The following is a 27,124-nucleotide window of genomic DNA, read 5'->3' as shown; positions in this document are numbered from 1 at the left end:
TATCATGCTAACATCTCATTCACTCACCTCCAAAGTAGTCAGGCCAAAAATGTGTGCCAGGAAACTCCTATATTATCCTGTAGTGTGTGATGTCTACATGAAATTGGTATTAGTTTATGGTTGTATATTTTTGTTCCAAAAAGTAACTTTATTTCTAGACGAATTTTAATTTCTGCCACTGAATATTCAACCTGTTTTTAAATTAAACCAGTCCAGTTTCCTCATTTCTTGATCAAGATGTATAAAATATAGTCCAGCTCAAAGCTTAATGAGTTCAGTATTCAACTGTATCAAGACTGTTTTCCCCATCGAGTTTCTTCCTGTGTTAGTTTATTCTTGTGTTGCTGTAAGGAAATACCTGAGGCTGGGTAATTTATAAAGAAAAGTTTTTTTTTTTTAAATTTTTTATTGATACAGAGTCTCACTCTGCCATCCAGCCTGGAGTGCAGTGGCGTGATCTCAGCTCACTGCAACCTCTGCCTCCTGGATTTAAGCAATTCTTGTGTGTCAGCCTTATGAGTAGCTGGGATTACATGTGTGCACCACCACACGGGGGTAATTTTTGTATTTTTAGTAGAGACGGAGTTTCACCATGTTGGCTAGGCTGGTCTCAAATTTCTGGTCTCAAGCGATCCACCTGCCTCAGCCTCCCAAAGTGTTGGGATTACAGGTGTGAGCCATCACGCCTGACCAAAAAGTTTTTTTATTTTGGCTCACAGTTCTGCAGACTGTACGAGAAGCATGTCAGTCAGCATCTGCTGCTGGTGAGGGCCTCAGGAAGTTTACAATCGTGGCGGAAGGAAAACTGGGAGCTGGCATATTACATGGTGAGAGCGAGAGCGAGAGCAAGCGAGAGAGAAGGGGGAGGTCCCAGACTCTTTTTAACAACCAGATATCATGTGAACTAACTGAGCAAAAACTCACTTATCATCAAGGGGATGGTACTAAACCATTCATCTGCCCCCATGATCCAACTACTCTTCACCAGGCCCCACTTCCAACACTGAGAATCACGTTTCAACATGAGATTTGAAGGGGACAAACATCCAAACCATATTGCTTCCTCTTCCTTTCTCCTAATCCGGTTTCTTTATTATCCCAAGGAGAGAGGGAGTGGCTTTCCTGATAGTGACGGTGGAGAGATACCACATCCGTTTTTCTATTCTGCTGATGTTCCTGTTGTCTATTATCCTATGCTGGTTGACACCCGGGGAAATCACACAGAGAAGCAACTATCCCTCTTCTCATGCTACAGGTGGCTACATTCTCCTTTTTCTCTTTTTGGGAATTCTTCCCCAGGTGGTCTCCCAGGATTGCTTGTTGGCTTGTCCTTGTGTTGGGCCCATGAGATGCTCACAGACCTCCACACCTGGCTTGTGGCTGATGATGGTGGTCAGGGCCTTTCTCACGTCTGTGTGTACATGCCACCCACACTTTTATTTCCTTCAAGTCTCATAGGGCTGAATATGGTTGGAAAGACTGCTGCCCTCCAACTGTATCTGGAAAATATATTTGCAATCTTTTTTTTTTCTCTCACACATTCTCAAACATCACAGGAGAATACCCTAGTATTCCTCAGGTTTCTAATTTGGCCAGAGGAAGAAAAGAGTAAAAAAAATCCTCACTGCTCTTTTCATCTGGATTTCTCTGTCTCTCCTCTTCTCATGTGCTCAAACTCTAATGGAATGGCAGCAGGAAAGGGGTGGTGTGTGGGGAGGGAAGGAAGGGTAGAGACTAGCTCCTTTGCTTTAAAGATATGCACCACGCGGTGGCTCACGCCTGTAATCCCAGCACTTTGGGAGGCCAAGGCGGGTGGATCATGAAGTCAGGAGATTGAGACCATCCTGGCTAACAAGGTGAAACCCCGTCTCTACTAAAAATACAATAAATTAGCCAGGCGCGGTGGCGGGCGCCTGTAGTCCCAGCTACTTGGGAGGCTGAGGCAGGAGAATGGCGTGAACCCGGGAAGCGGAGCTTGCAGTGAGCCGAGATTGCGCCACTGCAGTCCGCAGTCCGGCCTGGGCGACAGAGCGAGACTCCGTCTCAAAAAAAAAAAAAAAAAGATATGCACCAGTCTCCTTTCTCACATCTGAGGCTTTTACCTCAAATTCAAGACTTAGGCATTTCTTCTGACTCCTCCTAGGCAACTACTTCCCCATGGCAAATGGCAACTCAGTGTCTCATGGACTGAATGGGGATGTTGCAGGGAATATGAATACTACCTGCTGCTTGATGTCTCAGATTATTAATCTGCCACAAATACTTTTTATTTCTTCCTGCTGTGTGTGTGTGTGTGTGTGTGTGTGTGTGTGTATTTTGGCAACTAACATAACTGAAGTATTCATATAAGGAACAAAATTCTCAAATATAAAAATGTTTTGTAAAATAAATAATGCCAAACATACAGGTATTTAGGAATATTAATGATGACATCATCTCAAGAACCATCTGTAAGAAAGGGTCAACGTAACATTTTTGTTATGAGAAGGAAATATTCATGGTTATATTAACACAGAAATATAATGGTTAAGTGAATATAAATATTTAGTGATTTTTCTTTCCTTTCTTTTTTTTTTTTTTTGAGACGGAGTCTCGCTCTGTCGCCCAGGCTGGAGTGCAGTAGCGCGATCTCGGCTCACTGCAAGCTCTGCCTCCCGGGTTCACACCATTCTCCTGCCTCAGCCTCCCGAGCAGCTGGGACCACAGGTACCCACCATCACGTCCGGCTAATTTTTTGTATTTTAGTAGGGACAGGGTTTCACCATGTTAGCCAGGATGGTCTTGATCTCCTGACCTCCTGATCAACCTGCCTCGGCCTCTCAAAGTGCTGGGATTACAGGCGTAAGCCACCGCGCCTGGCCTCTTTTCTTTTTTTTTTTTTTTTTTTTGAGCGGAGCCTCACTCTGTCAACCAGGCTGGAGTGCAGTGACATGATCTCGACTCACTGCAACCTCTGCCTCCTGGGTTTAAGCGATTCTTGTGCCTCAGCCTTCTGAGAAGCTGAGATTATAGGCATGAACCACCGCACCTGGTTAATTTTTGTATTTTTTTTTTTTAGTAGATATGGGGTTTCACCATGTTTGCCAGGCTTGTCTCGAACTCCTGACCTCAAGTGCTCTGCCCGCCTTGGCATCCCAAAGTGCTGGGATTACAGGTGTGAGCCACCATGCCTGGCTGGTATATTTGGTGATTTTTCTTTGTCCTGGAGATTGGGAGCGAGGTGACAATCTTCTCTAATTCTGGGCTGGTGTGAGACAGGTGCAGGGATGCTGGGATGGAGGTCTCTTGGTCAGAACCAGATGAAGACTTCATCCTAATTTGGGGATTATTCACAGCAAATATAGAATTTTGAGGTGGTTTTCTATACCATGCAGAATAGGTTGTGTCTCTTTTCCACACTTTCAGTTGGTATGTGGTAGAGAAATTACACTTAATTTCCCTTTAGTCGCTATTCACCCCAGCCCCCTCTACATCCTGCATTGCTAGGGCCCCCTCCACACCCATTCTCTAGATGGCAGCCAAAAAGATCTTTTCGGAGAGCAAAACTGAGCAGACTCTCTTCCATGGAACACTCTGCAACATCTTCCCATTGCTCTAAAAATATAAAACAGCTTCTTATGGACATGAAGCCCTCATGTGGCCTCAGCTGCACTCATAGCCACTCCCTGCAGCTCTCTCCTCTCCCCATGCTAGCTTTTTATTGCTGTCTCCTGCTTGCGGGGGTCTCTTGCATCAGAGGGCTTTTGCCTATGCTGTTTCTTCAGCTGGAAGCACTTCTTTTCTTTTTCAGACTGGTCACAGTTTCAATCTTACCCTTGTTGTGTCATTGAAGTCTATGTTTGTGTGTTTTAAGCCTGGGTCTCTCGCTTGACTGTGAGCTCTGCCTGCCAGTTCTGCAGATGACTGCATTGCTAGGGCCCAGGGAAGTACGTGGCCCAGGGCTGGGGCTCAGTGAATGAGTATATAAGAGGATGGATGCATCAAGGAAAAGGTGCCATTTAACCTGGATCATGGTAGATCGGCAGGAGGTCATTGTGGGAATGGGGAGAAAGGCATTTTGGAAGGACAGCAATAGCATGAGCTATATGGAGAAAGGGCCAGTATAAATTGGTACATCACTGAGGCCCAAGCAAAGAGTGATGGGGAGGTGGACTGGCTACAGAAGAGGCTGAACATGTCATATGGGGCACTGTTAAAAGCCTCGTATGTCTTGCTGGAACATTGGGCCTTTATCCCAAGCAATGGAACCATGGCTTTAAGAAAGAGACTTACATAATGAGATGGAAACTCAACTTGCATGATGCCGTGGGAAAGGAGTGGTGGCTGGGAGCCTCCGGAGGAAACTGTTGCCTAAGCCCACAGAAGAGCTCATGGAGCTTGGCCTAAGAATGTGGCTGTGGAAATACAGAAGAGGAAATGAGAGAATGCACTGAGCTTGGAAACTAATGGGACACCGAGTTGAGGGAACATAGGGAGCTGTAGTCAAGTGATGTGTGAACTAGGATGGCAACTGCACTCCAGACAGCTTGTAGAAGGCTTTGAAAATCTACAATATTCCCCTTGTACCTAGCCTTAGAATGGCAAACAGAGTCAACTCAGAGAGAGAAAGAGAGGAAGGGGGAGGAGAGGAAGAGAGACAGGGAGGGAGGGTGAGGGACACGTTGGAGAGTGGTTTGTGGAAAGGGAAAGATATGAATATGAGTGTCTAGCTCAACAGTGGAGGTGGGCTAAATGGCTTCATTGGCTGCTCGGAGTCCAGCAGTCACTCTTGTCAGCCCAGAATGTCCCAGCTGAGAGGTCTTTTGCTCCAGTGCCTGCCTACATTTGTTTATTTTTCATTTCTGGCTCTCCCTTTAGCTGGTGATGGGGAATTGCTCTGATTCTGCTGGTGGCTAGAAGACACTCTGCTCGGCGTCCTCCCTGATGCTTCCTGAGTATTCTGTTTAGTTTGATCATTTGAAATGGAGTCATATCATTCTTGTGCGTCCTTTGGGAAGCATTTTAGGTGGGTGGTTTAGTTGCTCACTGGATGTCCGAATTATGATTAAAATCCAGAGAAGGAGAAATACATGGCAGCACAGCACCAATCCAGCAATGCATCCAGTCCAATGTGTTTGAACCCAGGGAGAGGCTCTGCCAGGCAGGAATGGAACTAGCATAAGGGGTGTACAGGCAGAAAACACGCTTGAAGAAAGGTGTGATGTCATCCCAAAAAGGTAGATCTTAGACTGTAACCGCATAGGGACAATGTCTTTTGAACTCACAAAGGTCTGAGCTACCATACCACCTTATTTATTTCTTAGGTCTCAACCTTGCTACTTTTGACTCTCAAGGTTGCATTATTGCTGCAAACTTAAAAGCATTAAAGTTTACCCTAGGAATGTGGTGTGGAACTCCTATCAGTGCATCCACGTACTAGGAAAGAATAAAGACATTAAGACAAAAATGTTAAAGTCTTGTCTCTATAGGAAAATTTATCTATAAATTTATCACTGGTTTTAAGCTAAAATAAATTATTAAAATATATGTGTTTTATTTTTTATAATTTCTTTCTTAGATGGCATTTTGATCAACCTACTAAAGATTGGTCCCAGTTGTACTGGATCTGATTTAGGACCATATCATATAAAAACATGTATGTTAAACCTTGGCAATCAAACAGTATGGGAGGGGCATGGGGAACCCAGTTGACTGAAGCAATAGCAGGTTCTTCTCATTCTTATCACATTCATTTTAGAGCTCTGCTCATTGAGTGAACTGTTTTAAATTGTGGTTACAGCATTTAAATTATTTTTTTTCCTGTGCTCATACTTACTCTTATTCTCTCTCTTTGACTGAGATCATAGAGTTAAGTTCGCATTAATTAAGTGCACATTTCCACTTTATTGTTATCTCCTTTTCACAGATGAAGAAATTGAAGCTTAGAGAAGTTCAGAAACTTGTCTGCTTCTCTAAGCTTTAACAATGAAGCATTCTGAAAGCAAGCCCTGGGGAATGTGCAGGCTTGTGGCTGGGGCTGGGAGAGCTGTCTCCCTCTGTGTTTCTTATCCATTATCACCCAACTACTTGATCAAACTCAAAACAGCAGTCATCCTTGATTCTTCCCTCTTTCTCACCCTCCACACAATAGATATTTAAAATGTATCAATTTCCTCAGTTTAGACCATCTTTATCTTTCACATGAATATTAATGAGAATGAGAACATGATAATAGCGAAGGCATGTGTGTGCGTCAAGCATTTACTATGTGGCTAACACTGTACCTCGCACCTGACCCATATGAGCTTACCTATATTTAATTCTCATAGTTACCTTTTGAGCTAAGCACCATTATTTTTCTCATTTTAAAAACAAGCAAACTGAGGCACACTTAGAGAGACTAGAGGCAAAAGACAAACAACATCCGATTTGATTTTCGTACCTCTGATTTGTTTTCTCCAATTTATTTTCTGCAACACAGAGTGATGGTTCATTAAAAAAACTTACTATATGACTCAAGAAGGTAAAATCTCTTCCTCTCTTCTTGGCATCTTGCTGCCAAGTTGGTATCATATTCTGTACCTTCTTTCATGAGATCTTACCTATGTACAAATAGTAAGTGATGGGAAATTAATGGTAGAAGTTGGGGATCATGGCTGGTTTGGGGGAGAGACATTTTTGGAGCAGCCCTGTCTTGGTGTCTTTGACAGACTGTCTGTTCCACAGACAGTTGCAGCAACAGTTCCCTCTCACATGCTGTTCTTACAGTGTGACACTCTGAGACACAGGGGTCTGTGTTCCTGCCTCTTGAGTCTGGGTGGGCTCGTGATTGTGGCCACTATGACTTTATGTGACTTCGAGACTAGATCATAAAAGGTGATGCGGCTTCTCCGTAAATCACTGGAGTACTTACTGTGGATCCCTAAGCTGCCAGGTAAGCAGTCACAATGCCTGAGGCCACTGTGCCGTGAGGAAGGCCAGGTGAAGAGACCACACGGAGAGGCCAGGAGACTGAGTGAGGACAGGGATGTCTGGCTAGCTCTTTGGAGGAAAACCAGCGTTTTGGAGGGTTTTCCTCCAAAGTTTCCCTGTCTGCAATGTCCTTTGCTGTCTTCTGCATTTGATAAACTCCTAGTAGCCTTTCAAGACCCACCTCTTCTCTATCTTACCTGACTTTCCCAGGGAATATATTATTCCTTCCTTAAGAGATGTGTGATGTCATCCCAAAGAGACAGATCTTAGACTGTAACTGCACAGGAACAATGTCTTTTGAATGCACAAAGTTCTGAGCTACAATAGTACCTTATTTATATCTTAGGTCACAACCTGGTTAGTTTTCAGTAGATCTTCATCCTCTCTTCCACTATTGCCCGTGCTCGTGTACTTTTGTTTGCACCTCCAGATCTACTCTCCCATCCTTTCTGCTTTGCCGTTGGCCTGAATGGATCAGGTTGGCCTGAATGGGTCAGGTCAGCCTGAATGGATAGCAATGGACTCTCTTGAACTATGGCTTCTGATTGGGCTTGGCCATTGGCAGGAGAAAAGGGGGAATATGGAGAATAAAATTGGAGTATTTATTTATTTAGTTTCCTTCCTGTGGGATTGCTCTGGGTTGGTTACTTCCCACCACAAAGATTACACGTAGTGATGTGCTGGTGCATGATTAATCAGTATAGGGGTTGGAGAAGCCTTGATTTCTAGTGTTTGCCAATTTCTACAATGTAAATACTCTTACCATGGCCAATTTCAAGCTACCGGTGTGACATCATTCAAGGTATTGTCTGCTTTCTCCAGCTGGCATGAGCCAGATCCAGCACACCACTGTCCCATTCTTTCCTTCCAGCGAATTGTCTCCGCTCTTCCCCAGCCCTTCAGGCCTGTCTGTGCCACACTATTTTTAGCCCTGGGACACTGCACTGTCTCCTGTGGTTTTCCTCACCAAAATGATACCTTTGTAAATAGTCACCTTATTAAACCCTCCTCAAATTATCCAGTTTGAGATACCATCTGTTTCTTGATGAGATCCTAATCAAGTTATACTATCTGGAAACTGGTAATTTGGAAATCTTTGCTCTTGCTATATTGCCAATATCTAGAGTATAGAGAGTATACTTTATTAATTTATGTATCTTCAGCACCTAGCCAATGAAGAGGGTAGGAAGGGAAAGAAGAAGGAATACATTTTTATTTGAATATCTACTATGCATCAGATATCATGTCAGATACTTTAGGAATGTTTTCTCTTTAATCCTAAGAAATCAAATTAATTCTAGGTACTGTCATTTCCATTTTGCAGGTAAGGAAATTGAGATTCACAATGGCTCAGTAACATTTTCAAGTTTACACAGTTAGGAAATGGCTGAATAAGGGTTTGAACCTGTGTGTCTCACTCTAAAACCTATACTTTTTTTCTGCACTGCTGCCTAGTTTATTTTTAGTGAGTGAGCAGATGTTTTAGTCAACAGAGAAGATAGAATGCCATCAGAAATGCCTGATAAGGGAAGTTTTCAAGTGGAAGAGATGGAATCAGCTTCCTCCTCTTCCTAGAAATGAAGTTTCCAGTAATCTAGCAGTGCATGTAAACCGTCCTGTATAAACATTCATGTGAACAGAGGGTATTTGAGATCACATTAGGCAATTCATGAATTAGCCCTAAATCTCACAGATCTTTTTATTGTACCTTGACAAATTCATGTCTCCTGTGGTTTCAATGCATCCCCAAAGTTTATGTGTTGGAAACTTGATAACCAATGTAGAGGTGTTAGGAGGTGGGATGTATAAAAGATCTTTAGGACATGGGCACTGCCCTCATAAATAGATTAATGCCATTATCTCGGTAGTGGGTTCTTTATAAAATGAGGTGTTCAGCCCCATCTCGCTCTCTCTCTCTCACTTTGTGGTGTCTTTTGCCATGTTATGACACAACAAGAGGACCTTCACCAAATGCCTTGATCTTGGACTTCCCAGCCCTCCAGAACCATGAGCCAAAAAATTTCTGTCCATTATAAATTACTTAGTCTGTGGCATTCTGTTACAGCAGCACAAAACTAAGACAATATCTTACAGTAGTATTGGGCAGTTTCTAATCTCCTTAAAGATTGAAAATAGCTTAACACTCTGAGATGAGAGAAACTATGTCTGTGTTGTTGCATTAAATTATGAAGAAACTGCAAACATGATCAATTACAAGATAAATTTTGTACAAGAAGACACTTTGCCTATCTGAAATTTTGTGCTCTAGTCTTCCATCTAGAAGGTACTGGTGATTCTAGTCAAGACTTGGAAGAACCCATAGCAAGTGCCTTAAAAAAGTGTGTAATATATTTCTGATCTGTTAACAGGCCCTAAAGCAACTGTTATTTTTGTTATAATAATGAAAAACATTTACTGGAAAAATTGATGCTGGCTTTGGCAATTTCATTCAGTCTGTTAAGATGCCTCAAGAGGGAGCACAACAGGTCTAATGGGGCTGTTAGAAACCTGAGTTAGAAGACATGAGTCCAGTTCTGACCTTCTCACTTGCCTAGTCTTATTTTATTTATTTATATTTATTTATTAACTTATTTATTTTTGAGATGAGGTCTGGCTCTGTCGCCCAGAGTCTATCCCTCATTGCAACATCTGCCTCCAGGGTTCAAACCCTTCTCCCACCTCAGCCTCTGGAGTAGCTGGGACTATAGGCCTGCACCACCACGCCTGGCTAATTTTTGTATTTTTGGTAGAGATGGGGTTTCACCATGTTGCCCAAGCTGGTCTTGAACTCTTTGGCTCAAGTGATCTGCCCACCTCGTCCTCCCAAAGTGCTGGGATTACAGGCCTGAGCCACCGCTCCCAGCCATTTGCCTAGTTTTAAGTTGTAGGTAAGCCACTTAAATGTTCTGTGCCTCTGTCTCCTTAAAGGTGAAAAGGACAGTTGGATTAGACTAAGGGTAGTTGGATTAAGTTACCTTTCTAGCTCTAAGGAGTTTTTGTAGTGCTTAAGAAATTTTCTTTCTTTTTAGTAAAGCCATTAGTATTTTTCTACACTTGTTAGCTACTGTGTCTTTTCATGTCAATCCTATTTATTTTTCTTTATAGTAATAATTTTGTTACTCATTATATCTCTCTTTTTCATTATCTACCACCTATATATTATCCACCTATATAAATGCTAAAAAGAAAAGCTGCCCAATGTTCACTGTAAGGACACAAAAATAAAACAATCCCTACATATGCTTTGTGTATATGTGTTTGTGCACATATATACTACATATATGTACATACACATATGTATACATCTATATACATGTATAAATATATACACATATATACACACACACACACACACACACTCTCACACACACATATATATGCACTGGTGTTTTGTAAGTGTTTTCCAGTCGGCCCTCCTGGAAGAAAAAAATCCCTGATTTATAGCGTTTGCCGGTTTCTGTGGCGTAGCTACTCTCACCATAGCCAATTAAAGCTACTCAAGTTGAGTCACTGAACATGGAGCTGAGGAAAGATACACAAACTAGACTCTCTTGCAAGGCAATACAAGTTGGTTAGAGCACACCACTGAATATAGACTGTTGGGTGCTACCATCTCTTGTTTATGCTAAAATACCTATTTTTAAAAATTAAATTTAATTTTATTTTAAGTTCCGGGCTACATATGCAGGATGGGCAGGTTTGTTACACAGGTAAATGTGCGCCATCATGGTTTGCTGCACCTATCAACCCACTGCCTAGGTATTAAGCACCACATGCATAAGCTATTTATCCTGATGCGCTCCCTCTCCCCGACCCCCTGACAGGCCCCAGTGTGTGTTGTTCCCCTCCCTGTGTCCATGTGTTCTCATTGTTCAGCTCCCAGTTATAAGTGAGAACATGCAGTGTTTGGTCTGAAATACCTATTTTTTTTCTTCAACTTTTATTTTAAGTTCAGTGGTACATGTGCAGGAGGTGCAGGTTTGTTACATAGCTAAATGTGTGCCATCGTGGTTTGCTGCACAGATCATCCATCACCTAGGTTTAAGACCAGTGTTCATTAGCTATTCTTCCTGATGCTCTCCCTTTCCCCATCTACCCCTGACAGGCCCCAGTGTGTTGTTCCCCCGCAAAGTGTCCATGTGTTCTCATGATTTAGCTCCCACTTATAAGTGAAAACATGTGATGTTTGGTTTTCTGCTGCCGCCTTAATTTGCTGAGGATAACAGCTTCCAGCTCCATCCATGTCCCTGCAAAGGACATGATCTCATTCCTCTTTATGGCTGCACAGTATTCCATGGTGGATATGTACCACGTTTTCTTTATCCAGTCTATCATTGATGGGCATTTGGGTTAATTCCATGTCTTTGTTATTGCAAATAGTGGTGCAATGAACATACGTGTGCATGTATCTTTATAATAGAATGATGTATGCTCCTTTGGGTATATACCCAGTAACAGGATTGCTTTGTCAAATGGTTTTTCTGCCCCTAGATCTTTGAGGAATCACCACACTGTCTTCCACTATGGTTGAACTAATTACACTCCCACCAACAGTGTAAAAGCATTCTTTTTTTTTTTTTTTGGCACAACTCCACCAGCATCTGTTGTTTTTTAACTTTTATTAATAGCCATTCTGACTGGCATGAGATAGTATCTCATTGTGGTTTTGACTTGCATTTCTCCAATGATCAGTGATGTTAAGCTTTTTTTTCATATGTTTCTTGGCCACATAAATGTCTTCTTTTGAGAAGTGCCTGTTTATGTCCTTTGCCCACTTTTTAATGGTTTTTTTTTTCTTGTAAATGTGTTTAAGCTCCTTATAGGTTCTGGAATATTAGACCTTTGTCAGATGGATAGATTGTATTTTCTCCCATTCTGTAGGTTGTCTGTTCACTTTGATGATAGTCTTTTTTGCTGTGCAGAAACTCTTTAGTTTAATTACATCTCATTTGTCAATTTTTGCTTTTCTTGCAATTGCTTGTGGCATTTTTGTAATAAAATCTTTGCCCGTGCCTATGTCCTGAATGGTAATGTCTAAGATTTTCTTCTAGAGTTTTTATAGTTTTAGATTTTACATTTAAGTCTTTAATCCATCTTGAGTTGATTTTTGTGTAAGGTATAAGGAAGGGGTCCAGTTTCAATTTTCTGCATATAGCTAACCAGTTCTCCCAGCACCATTTATTAAAAAGAAAATCCTTTCCTCATTGCTTGTTTTTGTCAGATTTGTCAGGTTTGTGTTCTCTGTTCTGTTCCATTGGTCTATGTGTCTGTTCTTGTACCAATACCATGATATTTTGGTTACTATAGCCTTGTAGCATAGTTTGAAGTCAGGTAGCATGATGCCTCCAGCTTTGTTCTTTTTGCTTAGGATCGTCTTGGCTATTCAGGCTATTGTTTGGTTCCATATGAATTTTAAAATAGTTTTTTTTCTCTAATTCTGTGAAGAATGTCAATGGTAGTTTAATGGGAATAGCAATGAATCTATAAATTGCTTTTGGCAGTATGGCCATTTTTACAATATTCATTCTTCCTATCCATGAGCATGGAATGTTCTTCCATTTGTTTTTGTCCTCTCTTATTTCCTTGAGCAGTTTTTTGTAATTCTTCTTGAAGAGGTCCTTCACTTCCCTTGTTAGCTATATTCCTAGGCATCTTATTCTTTTTGTAGCAATTGTGAATGGGAATTCATTCATAATTTGGCTCTCTGCTTGCTTGTTGTTGATATATAGGAATGCTAGCGATTTTTGCACATCGATTTTGTATCCTGAGACTTTGCTGAATTTGCTTATCAGCTTAAGAAGATTTTGAGCTGAGACGATGGGGTTTTCTAGATATAGTATCATGTCATCTGCAAACAAAGATAATTTTACTTCCTCTCTTTCTATTTGAATACCGTTTATTTGTTTCTATTGCCTGATTGCCCTGGCCAGAGCTTCCAATATTATGTTGAATAGGAGTAGTGAGAGAGGGCATCCTTTTCTTGTGCCAGTTTTCAAGGGGAATGCTTCCATCTTTTGCCTATTGAGAAAGATATTGGTTGTGTGTTTGTCATATATGACTCTTATTATTTCGAAGTATGTTCCTTCAATACCTAGTTTATTGACAGTTTTTAACATGAAGGGATGTTGAATTTTATTGAAGGCCTTTTCTGCATCTATTGAGATAATCATGTGTTTTTTTGTCTTTAGTTCCATTTATGTGATAAATCACGTTTATTGATTTGTGTATGTTGAACAAACCTTGCATCCCGGGGATGAAGCCAACTTGATTGTCGTGGGTAAGCTTTTCGATGTGCTGCTGGATTTGGCTTGCCAGTATAAAATACCTATTTTAATATATAGTTCGAGAACTGCATACTGAATGTAAAACTAAGAACACAAAATGTGTTTTTTATTTGATTTCTGTTTATTATAGTCTTTACTTGGAATTATTTTTAAGTAACTTTCTTACCTTATGCCAAATACCTACACACACGCACGTATATGTACATACACTTACCTAAATTTTGTTAAAATTTTTTTGGGATGTCTATGCATTATGTAACCATGTATAAGTAGATTATACTAAAATGTGGTGCAAATTTGTTTTTTCATAAGTCACCTATCCTTTCAAATTTAAAGTTAAAAGAACTTCCTTAAATATCTGTATTTCTTTAGGGTTCTAAACTTTTAGGGCCATCCTCATGAGTGTACCCAATATTTTCATTGACTAGTTGTTTATCAAAGGACTTAGGGCTGGAAAAGCCCCCAAACTATTAGATCATCAAGTCTGGGAGTGATATAAATTTGAAAAACTCAGAAATCCAAAAAGCTGCATACAGTAATTTGGTATTTAGTCAATCACAGAAAGGCTACAATGCGTTAACTGTTGACTGAATGATGAGCATCAAACATAGAGTGTAATTAACACAGACAGAAGCTTACTGCCAACAACAGTTTGAAACAATTTTAGTCCTCTATTTCCTGCCAACTTTGATATATAAAGAACCCTTCGTGGCATGATTGAGCGAATTTGTTTTTGCATGGGGAATTCAGCTCATACCCCAGAGTCTCTAGAACAGGGGCTCTCACAGGGTAGAAACTGATGGGCATTTTTTGGATTGAACCAGTTGAACCAGATCTACAGTTTTTTTTTTTTAAATTAGTCCTCAGACACAACACTTCTTGTTAGTAAATTCTCATTGCATTTCATGAATCAGTGGTAATATGTTCTCTGTCCCCTTAAGTAGTAAGTGAACTTTTGCTAGGCTAGGGTGCATTGCCTAAGGGAGAAAAGACAATGATGAATACCTATCTGAATCAAGGGAAAAGTTTTACAAAAATTGTTATTAAGAATTTGAAGTGTGTACTGATCAAATGTGCAAGAATGAATATCAGCTCTAAGTTATCCATTAATAGTTTATCTGCTACAACTGGAACCCTGTCTGCCATGTCTGTCCTGATTCCTTGCTGATCAAGGCAATCAGCTTGATTCTAAGCTGGGAACCTGTCAGGACAAGATCTGGAAAAGCATATGTGGCTCAGTAAGCTGCAGGTAGGTGTGTGCGTGTGTGTGTGCACGTGCGCATGTGTGTGTGTGAATGTCAAACATTAAAAGATGTGTATCATTTATCCACACTGATAGAAATAATTGACCTGCTGGGAGTTCCTTCCTTCTGCCCCGCAGATCAGTAGTGCTGAATTACTTGCAGTTCCTCAAAGCAGTCAGGCTTCCTCACACCTATGTATCACATGGGCTGCTTTTACAGCTTGATATCAGCCTTGTCCCATCCCAGCATTCTCCCCAACCCCTGACTGAGCTTGGTAACTACCGTAATTCGTTCTTCTAAACCCAGTTCCGAGGTCTCTTTGTCAGGACGTCACGCTAGTCTGCAATGAATGCCCATCTTGTGAGGTCCATTGCATTCAATAACACATTTATCCATGTCTTTATCACATTGTATTGTGGTTTTTGCTCAGCTGCTTGTCTGTCTCCCTTGTAGATTATAAGTTCCTTGAGGGAGATATTGATTCTTACATCTTTGTATTTCCAGGACCTACCACAGTACTTGGCAAATAGTAGGTACTTATTAATGTTGAATATTTCAATATGCAAATAACTAAAATTAATGAACAAGTGATTTATCAGTTGAGTATTTATATATTCAATCTCAACCTGCTTTTATTAGTCAAAATTTTTAACTTGTAACAAAAACATCTCAAATTCACTTTAGGACAATCAGGAATTTACCACTTTAAGTAACTAAGAGTCTAAGGAGGGGTGCAAACTATGGACATATTGGATCCAAGTCTCAGATGATGCCATCAGAAATCTGTCTCTCTGCAGATCTAATTTCTTTTTCCTCTGGGGTGATTTTATCCAGCAAGGACTCTTTCTACTATAAAGGATGGTCCTGGTAGCTCTAGGCTTATATAGTGCAGCACAACTCACAATTTCAGAAGGATACTGAATATCTACAGGAAGCCACTCAAAATGACTATGCTTGGCTCTACTTGGGCTCCACATGACATTCACCCTTGGACCAGTAACTGTTCCTAGGGTGATAGGGTGTTCTGATTGGTCAGTTCAGGTCATATGCAAACACTAATGGAAAGTAAGCTTCCTTAATTAAAAATTTCCTTGGGGGTAGTTCCTGGGGACAGTTTGCAAAAGAAAATGATATGGGAAGACAAAAATATAAACCGTATCTATACACTGTTGTTGATTTTGCAATATGATAAAATTTTTAAAAGCCTGCCATGTGTCCAGACCAGTTTAACTTCTTCATGCCTTTTTTCTAGGCCCACTGAGATGCACCAAGACTGACATAAAGAAATGTTGGGCGGATGCTCAATTTTCAGTTACTTAGATGCTGAACTAGGTGCATAATTCTCTGTCTATATTTTGCTCCTTACTCCTTCTTTTTATTTATTGTTTTTCAAAAAAATCTTTTAAATTTTGGAATAGTTTTAGATTTGTAGACAAATTGCATGGATAGTGTAAAGAGTTCTTGCTCACAGCTGAAATCTCAGCACTTTGGGAGGCTGAGGTGGGAGGATTGCTTGAGCCCAGGAGTTTGAGGTCAGCCTGGGAAACATGGTGAAACCCCATCTCTCCAAAAAATAAAAAATAAAAATTATCCAGGTGTGGTGGTGCACACTTGTTGTCCTAGCTATTTGGAAGCTGAGGCGGGAGGATTACTTGAGCTCAAGAGGTTGAGGCTTCAGTGAGCTGTGTTTGCATCATTGCACTCCAGCCTGGGCAACAGAGTGAGACCTTGTGTCAAAGAAAAAGAGAGAAAAAAGGCTTTACCTATACCACATAATCCAGTTTTCCCTATTGTTAACGTCTTACATTACTGTGGTACATTTGTCACAACGAAGGAACCAACATGGGTTAATTAGTTAACTAATTAATCTCCGCGGTTTCCTGAGCTTTCACTAATTTTTCCCTAATATCTTTTTTTCTATTCTAGGATCCCATTCAAATTATCCTGTTAAATTTATTTGCCATGTCTTGTTTGTCCCCTCCTGTCTGACATTTCTCGGGCTTTCCTTAGTTTTGATAACCTTGATCGTTTTTAGAAGTTCTGGCCAACTATTTTGTAAAATGTCCCTCAATTTGGGTTTGTCTGATGTTTTTCTCATGATGAGACTGGGTTATTAGTTTTGGGGAAGAAGCCCTCAGTGGTAAGGTGTCTTCTCATCACCTCATGCTAAGCACACATACTATCAACATTACTTATCCCTGTTGATGTTGACCTTGAACCCTGGGATAAAGTAGTGTTTGCCAGGTCTCCCTGCTGTCAAGTCCTTTTTTCTCCCTTTTCCCATATTCTACTCTTTGAAGCAAGTCACTAAGCACAGCTCACACAAGAGGTGGGGAGCTAAGCTTCACTTTCTTGAGAGGAGGAGGATCTACCTCAATTATTTAGAATTGTTTGGAATTCTGCCATGTGGGAGATTTGTCTCTTCCCCATTTATTGATTTATCTATTCAATCACTTGTTCATGTCAGTATAGACCCATGGATATTTATTTTATTCTTTGGGCTATAATTCAGCACTGCATTATTTATTTTGTTGCTCACATTGTCCAAGCTTTAGCAATTGTGAGCTCTTTCACTGGGCCCCTCTGTCCCTTTGCCATGCTCTCAGACTTTTGGTTTTTGAATACCTCCTTACTTTCTGGCTCTACAAGGTGGTCCATTCTCATCTTGTGTATTCTCTGTCCCAGTCATAGAATCATCTATTTCCTCAAAGAGCACTGGTTCATTTTGTTAGAGAGTGGTAAAGACCAAGACCTGGGTGCTGGTTGTGCCCTGTCGATACTGGGGTATCATTACCTCTAGGCCCTCTCAGCAGACAGAACTGGGAAATAAATGTATGGTTACTAACTCATTTCACTACTTCCTTTTAATGTCCTTTGTTACCGACCTTTCCCTGTATCATTTATTCATGCCTTTGCCTTGTCCTCTAGCTTGATGCACATTTTGTTGTCTCCTGTCTTCCAAATTTGGTTCTAGTTCTCGGTTATGCTTTTATTGCATTTTCTCCTTGATTCGGTGATTATGATGTAAGAACAAATGTGTTCAGCTTGACTCAGCTTTTGGAACGTCTACTTTGCTCTTTTCTTGCAGACTACATGGATGACACTCAGATGCTGTAGGATATATAGACAAGGCTTTCTTTCTGGACCCTGTTTTGAGACGCTTATAATCTAATTGTGTAACGCTGGAAAAAATATGACTAGAACATACTGTATACTCTCATTTATGCTTCTTGGTGAGGGGCTGGTCTATTTTCAGTCACTTGTGAACTCACTCAATCATCAATCATTTGTTGAGCACTAATGAATCAGACATGATTCGAGGCCTTGAGGATACAGTTTTGCATCAGCCACAGTCCTTATCACTACCTCTAGCTTCCAAGTTTTGGAAGGAGACCAACAGGCAAGAAATAAAGTGTTAGGATAGAGGTAAGCTGGAGCAACAGCAGGGAAAGAGGGAAAGGATTAATCAGTTCCATCTTGGCGACACCCCCATTGCAGGCACAGTGCTTGATAAAGAAACCAAAGGCTGCTCTAGCAAATTTTATAAAGTCAAACCCATAAAAACAAGAGGCAGAAGATGCTGGAGTGCCCTCTCCCCTTCAAACTCACTCTCTCATCCTCCCCCCGGCCCCCGCTCTGGCCGTCACCAACAGAGTTCAGAGTCTTCAAGTTTTGAAGCATTAACATAATTGAGAATTTTATAAATTATCTTCAAGGGGACATCATTAGATTCCATCACCAGGAAATGAAAAAGAATCAGGATTCTAGAATCCAAGATGGGCTGGGTGTGGGGGAGTGAGGTGTGCCAGAAGGGGGCAAGTTAAAAATGATCTAAGTTACTTGGCCTAGTGAATGGGAGTGAATAATGCTGGGCTGAAAATACAAAACTTGACAGACATAAATGTATTGCAATTATTCAACATAGGTAGCATAGACAGGTGGCATGGGTTCAAACCCCTGCATAAGTTACTTAACTCCTCTGTACCTCTGTTTCTTCATCTGTAAGGTGGAGAGGGTAATTGTACCTTATGTGAGGGTTATATGAGTTAATGTAGATGCGATCCTTAGAATAGTGCTGGATGGATAGTCAATGTTGTATAATTAAGTGTTGGTGATCATTATTTTTATATATTGAATACCTTCTACTTTAGCAAGATACTCTATTAAATACTAGGAACTACACAAGAAACTCCAGATATGATTCCTCCCACTGTAACTGCCCAGTGGGTTCTCCTTGCCCACTGCCCAGACAGAGCTGATTTATCAAGACAGAGGAATTGCAATCGAGAAAGAGTTTAATTCATGCAGAGCTGGCTGTATAGGAGACTGGAGTTTTATTATTACTCAAATCAGTCCCTGTGAAAATATGGGGATTGTGGATTTTAAGGATAATTTGGTGGGTAGGTGGCCAGGTGGTGGGGAGTATTGATTGGTTGGGTCAAAGATAAAATCATAGGAAGATGAAGCTGTCCTCTTGTGCTGAGTCAGTTCCTGGGTGGGGGCCACAAGATCAGATGAACCAATGTATTGATCTGGGTGGCACCAGCTGATCCATTGAGTGCGGGGTCTAAAAAATATCTCAAGAACGGATCTCAGGTTTTATAATAGTGAAGTTATCCCTAGGAGCAACTGGGGAGGTTTAGAATCTTGTGGCCTCTAGCTGAATGACTCCTAAACCATAATTTTGAATCTGGGCTATTTATAATTTGTCAGTCCTACAAAGGCAATCTGGTCCCCAGGCAAGAAGAGGGCTTGTTTCAGGAAAGGGCTGTTAGCATTTTTGTTTCGAAGTTAAACTATAAACTAAATTTCTACTTTTCATGAATACTTCAAAGTTAAATAACAGAATCTTTTGGTAATTCTCTGAGACCTCATCTGTCAATAAGTTTCACAATAAAACTTCAGTGTCTTGAGTTATTAAACTAAAAGGCTACTCACTGCCACATTAGAAGGTACACAAGCCTATGTCTGCTAAAGAAAGAATCTAGAAAATTGCTTTTAGCTTCAAGTAAAAATGGATGTCTTTTAATAGTTCAAAATTAGAAAGTTTTGATTGGTTATAATTTCAAATTAGTAGATTTAAAAAAAAGATGTTTGGGGATCTGAAATACAAGGAATGGTTGCATTTTAAAATACGTTTATGTTATTGAGATACTTTAAGAAATAGAAGTACCAACACAAACTCTTTTCATGGTTCCCTTGATCTCCCAAAAAGGAAATCCAAAATATTTCCTTTTGTCAGGGTTTTCGGGCATCTGATCTTTAAGAAATTGATATGGTACCAGGAAATTTCACTGACTTCTCCCATCCCTGAACTCTCCTTGCTGCTTATAAAGACTTTCAATGGGGTTAGTTTCAAAATTAATCCAGGCTTTTGAGGGCAGTTGGGCCCTCTGCGCTTGAATAGTTAAGTGAATACTATTAAAAAAGGAAAAGACTACACATTAGTAAGTTGGAGGAACCAGAGTGAATGAACCACTTTTCAGAACCTGCATGACAATTTTGAAAATTAAACCCAGTTAATAGAAAAAAATGCTAAATCAATGGCCATAAAATTTAATGGGTTTATAGCAGCCTTAACACAGTAGGACTGAATTATCATGTTAATTTAATTTCCATTTCTAAATGAACCAGAAGGCACAATAAAGGTCAATTAACCAGCTACCTTCCCTGTCTTCTTTTTCTTTTACTGCCGGTTTTAAATCACATTCAGCCCCAAAGCACTCACACTGCTTCTGGAAACTCATTAGTTTTTCTTGAAATTAAAACAAAAAAGAAAAAAGAAGAAACACAAAACTAACAACCAACCATGTGCTGATTGAGACAACCACTGAGTATGTTCCACAATTATGGGGATATATGTATTCAATGAAAAATCCCTACCCTTGTCACAAGGAGGCTACAGACTCAGTCACACCAAGCCTAGGGAAACACACAAGTTAAAGGTCTCAATTATTGTGTGTACCAAGTGTTCATCTACAGTGAAAAAGCTATGTGTGCCACTCTTAACGTTTATGAGGCGAAGAAGGAAGGCAACTCCATCTGTGTAATGTGGGTCTGCTGTTAGTATAGTGAGCACCTCTTAGCATTGAAACGTGTCACTTTACATTAATAGGTTTTAAAAACTCACTTAAAAAATTTACTTAATAGAGAATAAAAAGAACTCAGTTGCCCCCCCTCCCCCACCACCAGCAAAAGGAAAAAGACACAGTTTTTGGTTTGGGTATAATTAATTTATTGTTGCAATGAATTCCTTGCAATCTGATGGAATGTGGATCAAAATTTTTCAAAACTTCTGGTGTTTTCTAGTGATGTAAATAACATTAGGAGAGTAGGTTGGTGAACAAAAAATATCTTTATTTTACAAAATGCTTAGTCACTATAATTGATTTCTAATTCCATTTGCCATAATTTGAACAGTGATAATATAATGTTAGTCTGATTTGATCATTCCACAATGTATATAAGTAACCAAACATCACAGTGAGCCCTATAAATATGTACAATTATTATTTATCAGTTAAAAAATAATAAAACTAAAAATACATATACTCACAAATGCAACTGGTTTTGAGAGGCATCCTTTTTATCTTTGAAACTTTAAATCTAGTGACAGCATTGAGCTTTCTAAAAATTGTGACATGTTTGATCCACTTTTAAAGTTCCCGTGAAAGAACAGAAAAAATTGAAATTTTACTACTGAAATTCTTTAAACACCAGAAATATCTGAATGGTTTTGTTGACCTCATGGGTATTTTCTGGGATGGAAGGAGTCATTGTGCTGTTTTCCTCCCGCCTCCCCTCAGATTGACCTTGGGTCATATAAAGCCCTCAGTCATTGGCATGGGCACGGTGGCTCCTAGCTGAATGCTGACCTCCTCTCCTCCCTTTTCTCCTCCCTCTTCTCCCCTCTCCTCTCCCCTTTCCTGCCTCCTCCCCTCTCCACCACAGCAGCACTCTCCCTGAGCTGCAGAGAGGGATTCTAGGAGCAAGTGTCAGCTAAGTGCCTGCTGTGGCCTCTTGCCACTTGCTCACAGTTTTCTACAGTTGATGAAAACACCCTGTTACAGTGGATTCTCAAAAATTATTGCTGATTAACAGAACAATATGTTCTGCTCTCTCCCTGCCCCCAGCCTGCTTTTGGGACTCAAGAGATTGTTTTTGCACATCAGGCCATTGTATGATGAATCCTATCACGGAACTGTTGGTATGATTTAGCTGCTAGAATCCCTGAAGTCACTGGACTGTGACTGACCACGTGCAGACAGGGACTGTAAAGGAGCAGTTTGGGTACATGGTAGGGTAAGCAAGGAGAGAAGAAAGAAGAAAAATGGTAGCAAAAGGAAGAATGAAAGAAGATGATAAGAATAGAAGAAAGCCATGGCAATGCATGCCCTTCATAACTGCACTCATGAGGCAGAATTACCACTCCCAGGTTTGCAAAGCTCTGTGTGAACAGCCCCTGCCATGCATGTCTTGATTATTGATCTAGCTGCTAGCATCACTGCTGGTATTACTTGCTGTCATGGCCAGGTCCAAAGATTACAGACTTTGAAATATTCTGTTCTGAGGGTTTGAGAAGCTTCCTCCCAGGTCAGGTGCTGACTGGTGTCGCTACCCACCATTATCCAGTATTTCCTAAGCCCATGTCTCCCAGGAGTTGTCCTATCAGAATATAGAACTGCGTTTTACAGCTTTTCTACCATCTGGCTTTGTGACTTTGGAAGTCACTTCACTTTGCTGGGCCCTGGTTTTCTCAGTGGTGAAGGGAAGAATTTGACCTTGAAGCGACTTCTAGCTCCAACACTCTGTGATTCTCTGAAGCCCCATAACAAGCATGGGGCTGTAAGACAGGATCAAAGTGCTCCAGCTTTCCCTTTTTCCTGAGATTCACTTCTTGTTTAAAGTTAAACAGCTGATTTTTTCCTAGGAACCTGTGAGTGTGTGCATGTACACAGACACATATTTATACACACACGTGTATACATACATGTATATGTGTGTGTGTGTATATATATTCTACAGTAGTCTGAAATTTTAATAATGGTGTTCAGTGCTTTAAAGGAAGAATTTGAATGTTCTCTAAGTAAAAGGACAATAAAAAGAGGAAAAAAGTCTGTTTTCTGACCATCTTGAAAATGTTTGGGCCGACAGTTACATTCTTTTATTGAGATGGGCCTTGTGTATGTATAAATGTGTATTTGTTTTTAGTTTCAGCCTGTCAGGGAAACTGGAGAGAAATGGTACTCATTAACCACTAGGAAACATCTGTCCATCTTCGTAGCATAGTGTGTATATATTTTTAGGGACAATATTTTATGTTACACTTAGACCTCCCCAAGAGAACCCAAGACATTATACTGGGGCAGGGAGTCTGATGCCTTATATAAAATGGGCCAGGCTGCTGACTGCTAAAGAAAAACACAAATTGGGTACATAGCAGGATTTGGTTTATTTTCTTAAAAATGTGTTTGCTAAGAATGTAGAGTGGTAGGAACATTTTTGGGATTGTTTCCTTTTTTTTTTTTTTTTTTTTTTTAACATTTGGAATGATTGTATAAATTCCTGATGCTAACAGAGTGTGGGTGGGTGTCCTTCCTTTACATTGTAGAGCCACTGTCAGGAGGGTAAAAAAGAGCCAGGCCAGCATCAGAAGGGCCCTTCTGTGCAGGGACAAGAGCCATTCGGTTCCCTCTGGGCTCCCTCCTGTCCATGTCCATGAGCAGCCAGAGAGGGACACAGGTGAAAACTCTGGGCCTAATGGCCCTCTCTCTATTTTTATCTCTCAGCTGGGGGTTGAATGTTCTTATTTTATAGTCACTTGCCCTTTTCAACTCTGAGAAAAGAGATGGTTTCTCCCTCCCCCAACTCTATTATCTGTGTTTCGTGTTCTTTGTTCCAGAAAGAAAAGAAAAACAAAACCCTAGGATTATTTCTCTGAGAAATTTCTTACATTCAGAAAACTGCACGCGAACATAGCTGAGTGCTGTGTGAGGTGGTGCAGAATGTAGCGAGGTTGTGGGGCCCACCTGCAGCCTGGGGATCAGACAGGTATGAAGGTGGCTTGGGTAGGTATGGGAAGATGAATGTAGTGTGCCTGAGAAACAAGCAAATCACCTTTAATCCTCTGGATGCCACCTCGGGTTCTGCATTGTTGTCAGCGAAATAGTGACTGGTACTTCCATCCATCCATCCATCCATCCCTTCATTTGTTCATGTATTAATTGAATCAATATGCATTTGATGAGCTTTTCTGTGTCAGGAACAGATGCTTGGTATGCAAACTGAAATAAGTCTACCAATGGAAGACACTCACAATAACGAGACCTTTGATTTATTAAGGTTTATAATTTGCCAGGTGCTATGCTGAGTTCTTTATATGTGTCATTTTGTTCATCATTTATTACCCCATTTTTTCAGATTAGGAAACTGTGACACTAAAGGGCTTGCTCAAAATCACATAGCTAGTAAGTGACAGAGTCAGATTTGAACTTGGATCATTGCAACATTGTGATGAATTTATTTGTTTTTCAACTCCGTTTCTTGGCATTCTTTAAATCCTTAGAATCTCCAAAGTGATGTCTTTTTGTATACTAAAGGTTGACTGATGGCTAAAAGCTCCTAAGCAGCTTCTGGATAGAGGCTGGTCACCTGAAAGACCAAGGCATGATTAGAGGGTTGAGACTTTCAGCCCCTCTCCCCACCTTCTGTGGAGGAGAGAGGGACTGATGATTAAGTTGATCACCAATGACCAATGGTTTAATCAATCATGCCTACATAATGAAGCCTTCATAAAAACCCAAAAGGACTGGGTTCAGGAGCTTCCAGACAACTGAAAACATGGAGGTCCCTGGAGGGTGGAGTGCAAAGGAGGGCATGGAAGCTTTGTGTCCTTTTTCCCATACCTCACCCTGTGCATCTCTTCATCTGTCTCCTTTTAGTATCCTTCATAATAAGGGTAAATGTGTTTCCCTGAGTTCTGTAAGCCACTCTAGCAAACTAATAGAACCCAAAGAGGGGACAATGGGAACCCCAACATGAAGCCAGTTAGTTGGAAGTTTTGGAGGCCCAGACCTGCAACTCATGGGGGTGGGGGCTGGTCTTGTGGGACTAAGTTCTCAACCTGTGGGATCTGACCCTATCTCTAGGGAAATAGTGTCCGAATTGAATTAAATTAGAGGACACCCAGCTGGTGTCCACTGCAGAACTGACTGCTTGCTTGTTGTGGGGGAAAATCCTCCACATATTTGGACACAGAAGTCTTCTGTGTTGATTGCTGTTGTGGTGTGGGAGCAGAGAAAAACATAGTTTGAGTTGGTTTTTCCACTCACAATCATCTTACTCTGGAACTTCCCCTGAGGAGAACATTGCACTAGACAATGATAAATGCAATGATGAAGCATGCCTGGGGGCTGAGTAATCAGAGAAGAGGGATTCCATCTACCTTTGAGAGTCAGAGAAAGCATTTTGGAGATAGTGGTTTTTGAGTTTAATGTTTAACTATAGACCTGAAACAGCAGATTCAGCTTCTACTGGAGATTCTAGGCAGACGGGGTAACTTGTGAAAACAAGTGTGTGTGGGAGGAATTGAAAATATTTTGGTGTTTCTGAAACATCACATGCGAGGCAAGGAGTGGTGAGGGATGAGCCTGGAAAGGTGGGGAACAGGGCAAATCATGATGGATCTTTTAGAATCTACAATGCCAAGTGATGAGCTCAGTGGTCTAGGTGAAAAGTGGACATGGCAGGCACAGTTGGCTGGCAAGAGGGAAGAGAGGGAAGACTTGATGACTTATTGAGAGGGTATGGGAGAGATGGAGAGGGTACAGGATGCCTCCAAGACTTCTAGCTTGGTGACTGGATGGATGGGAATGCCAACCATGGATACAGAGGACCCAGGAGGAGGACTGGATTTAGACAAATGTGCTGAGCGGTTTTATTCTTCACCAGTCTATAGTCATAACCACAGATTACTAAGTTTTTTTTTTTTTTTAAATAGCAGGTCAAAATGGTATTGCATGGATTTCATACTTACTATGATTTATAGTTAATTATTAACTTATAATTTCATAAATAACATCTTTCTTGCCTGGGGGAAATGAAATACCTTTGCTATAATCATGAAAATCAAAGAGTTAAGTAAGCCATAATTTATGAATACTAATCATAATAACAGCCACCTATTGAGCACACACATGGTCCAGATATTGTTCTTTATGCTCTTATATTAATTCCATTCCTTTTGCCACTGAGATTTTAGCTTGAAAAACTAAGTGGCAGCTACCCAGGAGTTCAATCGTGTCTTGCTGTGGATGCAGGTCCAGTGGTGTCGTTCTGCCAGGGATGAAGTTGAGCATGGTACAGCCCTCGTGGCCTGGTGACTGAGATCCAGAAGACAGCTGTGTGAAAATCCATCTCAAAGCCTGTGGTGTTCACCATCATTCAGCTTCTGTTGCTTTTGATGCTGGGATTATTTGGAATTCTGCCTGGGATATTCTGGAATATCTCCTGGGATATTGCTTGGGATATTTCTCTGGCACCTATCACTTCAGATTTCTTATCTGAAACAATTGGGCATTGTTATCAATCCTTTCCCATCAATTTATTCTTGAAAGACATCCTTGTTCACTTTTGCTAGAAACACCTCTCCTGGTAGTCTACTGCAACTACAACTTTTAAAAAATGTTTTTATCCTGTTATTTCTATAGGATTTTGTGATAAGAACATAGTGGATTCTGTGATGTGTTGTCAAGATCTCATTAAGGACTGAAGGACTTATTCCTCCAGCTGCCCAAGGTTGGCTCCCTTCCTGGGAAAGCCTTCATCCAATGACTCACTGACACAGAGCTCAACCTTCTCACCTAAATTGGTACAACTCTAAAGGAGACCACCCAACCTCACAGCTTCCTGTGGTGTTGGCAGAGGCCTCCATTGAGAACCATTCAGCCCAGCTTCTCCATCTGTTCATTTTTTGCTTTCTACTCTTCCCTTGCACAGTGTTGATACCCAAACTACTCCCTAATAAACGTCCTCCATGTTAACCTCTTAGTGTCTGCTTCTGCTTCTGGGAAAGCCCGAACTGTGACAGTGAACAAGTGAAAACATGTTCTTATGCAGACACCCTGAAGGATTTCTTTTTTTCCTTTTTGAGACAGGGTTTTGCTCTGTGGCCCAGACTGCAGTGCAGTGGCACGATCTCAGCTCACTGCAACCTCCGCGTCCTGTGTTAAAGCGATTCTTCTGCCTCAGCCTCTCTAGTAGCTGGGATTACAGAAGTGCACAACCACGCCTGGCTAATTTTTTCATATTTTTAATAGAGACGGGGTTTCATCATGTTGGCCAGCTGATCTGGAAATCCTGGCCTCACGTGATCTGTCTACTTGGGGCTCCCAAAGTGCTAGGATTACAGGTGTGAGCCACTGTGCCCAGCTAGACATCCTGAAGGTTCTGCATGCTTTTTACACTGCTTACTCTAAGATCATGGACTTTAAAACAATAAGATAATGAAATAAAGCTAATTCTCCTCTCCAATACCAATTCACTCCTCTTAGCTTTTGATCAGAGACACTAGGCTGTTTGGTTCCCAACTCTCCTTCCTCTCCCGACAGCTGGCACTATGTGACCCTTACGTAAGAGCTCAGCCTC

General features: G+C 40.8%; 1 long non-coding RNA gene across 1 annotated transcript in view; it reads left to right on the top strand.

Annotated features, from left to right (window-relative positions):
* Positions 1–27,124, top strand: part of CIBAR1-DT (CIBAR1 divergent transcript) — a 353,967-nt gene that overhangs the window by 139,868 nt on the left and 186,975 nt on the right. The window lies entirely within an intron of this gene.

Source organism: Homo sapiens, chromosome 8, assembly GCF_000001405.40.
Source record: "Homo sapiens chromosome 8, GRCh38.p14 Primary Assembly".
In the NCBI taxonomy this organism is placed as follows: Eukaryota; Metazoa; Chordata; class Mammalia; order Primates; family Hominidae; genus Homo; species Homo sapiens.
The sequence above is the reverse complement of the archived record's forward strand: the minus strand, read 5'-3'. Positions and strand labels throughout refer to the sequence as shown.